The 1752-nt window shown below is 43.7% G+C and overlaps 1 annotated feature.

The window, feature by feature from the left end:
* Nucleotides 449–743: a silencer, noted in NCBI's record as "tiled region #7144; HepG2 Repressive non-DNase unmatched - State 23:Low". NCBI's record gives its function as "represses a minimal TATA promoter and a strong SV40 promoter by Sharpr-MPRA in HepG2 cells {active_cell/tissue: HepG2}" and the evidence as "EXISTENCE:reporter gene assay evidence [ECO:0000049][PMID:27701403]".

Below are 1752 nucleotides of genomic sequence, written 5' to 3'. Positions count from 1 at the left end.
AAAAAAAAATAGTGCTGGTTTTAAAAAGCAAGAAAAATTTAAGGATTTATAGCACGAAGCAATTGTGACCCCATAAAGACAGGGTCTCATTCTGTTGCTGAAGCTCTAGTACAGTGATGCTATAATAACTCACTGCAGCCTCAAACTCCTGGGCTCAAGTGATCTTCCAGCCTCAGCCTCCCAAGTAGCTAGGAAAATAGGAGTGCACCACCACACCTGGCTAATTTTTTTTATTATTACCTTTTTTTTTTTTTTTTTTTTTTTGGAGACAAGAGTCTTGCTCTGTTGCCCAGGCTGGTCTTGAAACCCTGGCCTCAGGCAATCTTCCCACCTTAGCATCCCAAAAGGCTGGGATTACAGGCATAAGCCACTGTGCCCAGCTCCATAGTGCAATTTATGTAGGGTTAAAAATACATGCATATATAAATCAACATCATATATCTTTCTTAAATACATCCAAATCTAAGGATAAACCTATCATAAATATGTCAGAGTAGCTGTTGCTCATGAGGGTAGGGTTAGAGGGTAAGTGTGAGGGGAAATCACTGGGACTAGGAATGAGAGATGAAGAGGAAATGATAACTCAGTAACAACAACAAAAACCCAATTGAAAACATAGGCCAAGTATATGAACAGTCCACAGAAATACAAATAGCTTGTAAGTCCTGTAACACAACTCACTAGAAAGAAATACCTATTTAAACTATAGCATGATGGCATTTTTCTCATCTGTCAAATTGGGAAGAATAAAAAGTTGATGATACATCAAGTTGGTGGAGCCGAGGGGAAAGCAGCACTCTCCTAAGTACAAAGACATGCATGCCTTCGGAAAGCAGACTGGCAGTAACTTTTAAACCACATTTATGAATTCCTCCTGCTGAAACAGTCACAGAACTGAGATTATATAGGTACAGGTATGCTTAATGTGTTATTGTCTATCACAGCAAACAAATAGAGATGGGGGAAATAGCTTATAAACCCACAGTGCACTGGCTAGATAAATATGGTAGCTCATTCAATGAGATACAGCAGCATATACGTACTTAAAAACGATGAAGGCGGGTGTGGTGGCTGACGACTATAATCCCAGCACTTTGGGAGGCTGGCTGAGGTGGGAGGATTGCTTGAGGCTAGCAGTTTGAGACCAGCCTGGGCAACACAGTGACACTCCCATCTCTACAAAAATTACAAAATTCAGCCTGGCGTGGTGGCGCCTGCTTGTGGTCCCAGCTACTGGGCAGAGGGTGGGCAGGGCAGGGCACTGAGGCTGGAGGATCACTTGAACCCAGGAGGTCGGGCTGCAGTGAGCCATGACTGTACCACTGTACTCCGGCCTGGGTGACAGAGTGAGACCTTGTTTCCAAAAAAAAAAAAAGCAAAGCCGGGCATGGTGGCTCATGCCTGTAATCCTAGCACTTTGGGAGGCCGAGACGGGTGGATCACGAGGTCAAGAGATCGAGACCATCGTGGCCAACATGGTGAAACCCCGTCTGTACCAAAAATACAAAAATTAGCTGGTTGTGGTGGTGCATGCCTGTAGTCCCAGCTACTCAGGAGACTGAAGCAGCAGAATCACTTGACCCAGGAGGCGGAGGTAACAGTGAGCCGAGATCATGCCACTGCACTCCAGCCTGGCAACAGAGCAAGACTCCGTCTCAAAAAAAAAAGAAAGAAAGATGAAACCTGTCTATATGTCTTGAAGCAGAATGATTAAGTATATTAAGTTTAAAAAGTGCATACCTAAGTATTATT

The sequence above is a fragment of the Homo sapiens genome, chromosome 2, assembly GCF_000001405.40.
Source record: "Homo sapiens chromosome 2, GRCh38.p14 Primary Assembly".
In the NCBI taxonomy this organism is placed as follows: domain Eukaryota; kingdom Metazoa; phylum Chordata; class Mammalia; order Primates; family Hominidae; genus Homo; species Homo sapiens.
The sequence above is the reverse complement of the archived record's forward strand: the minus strand, read 5'-3'. Positions and strand labels throughout refer to the sequence as shown.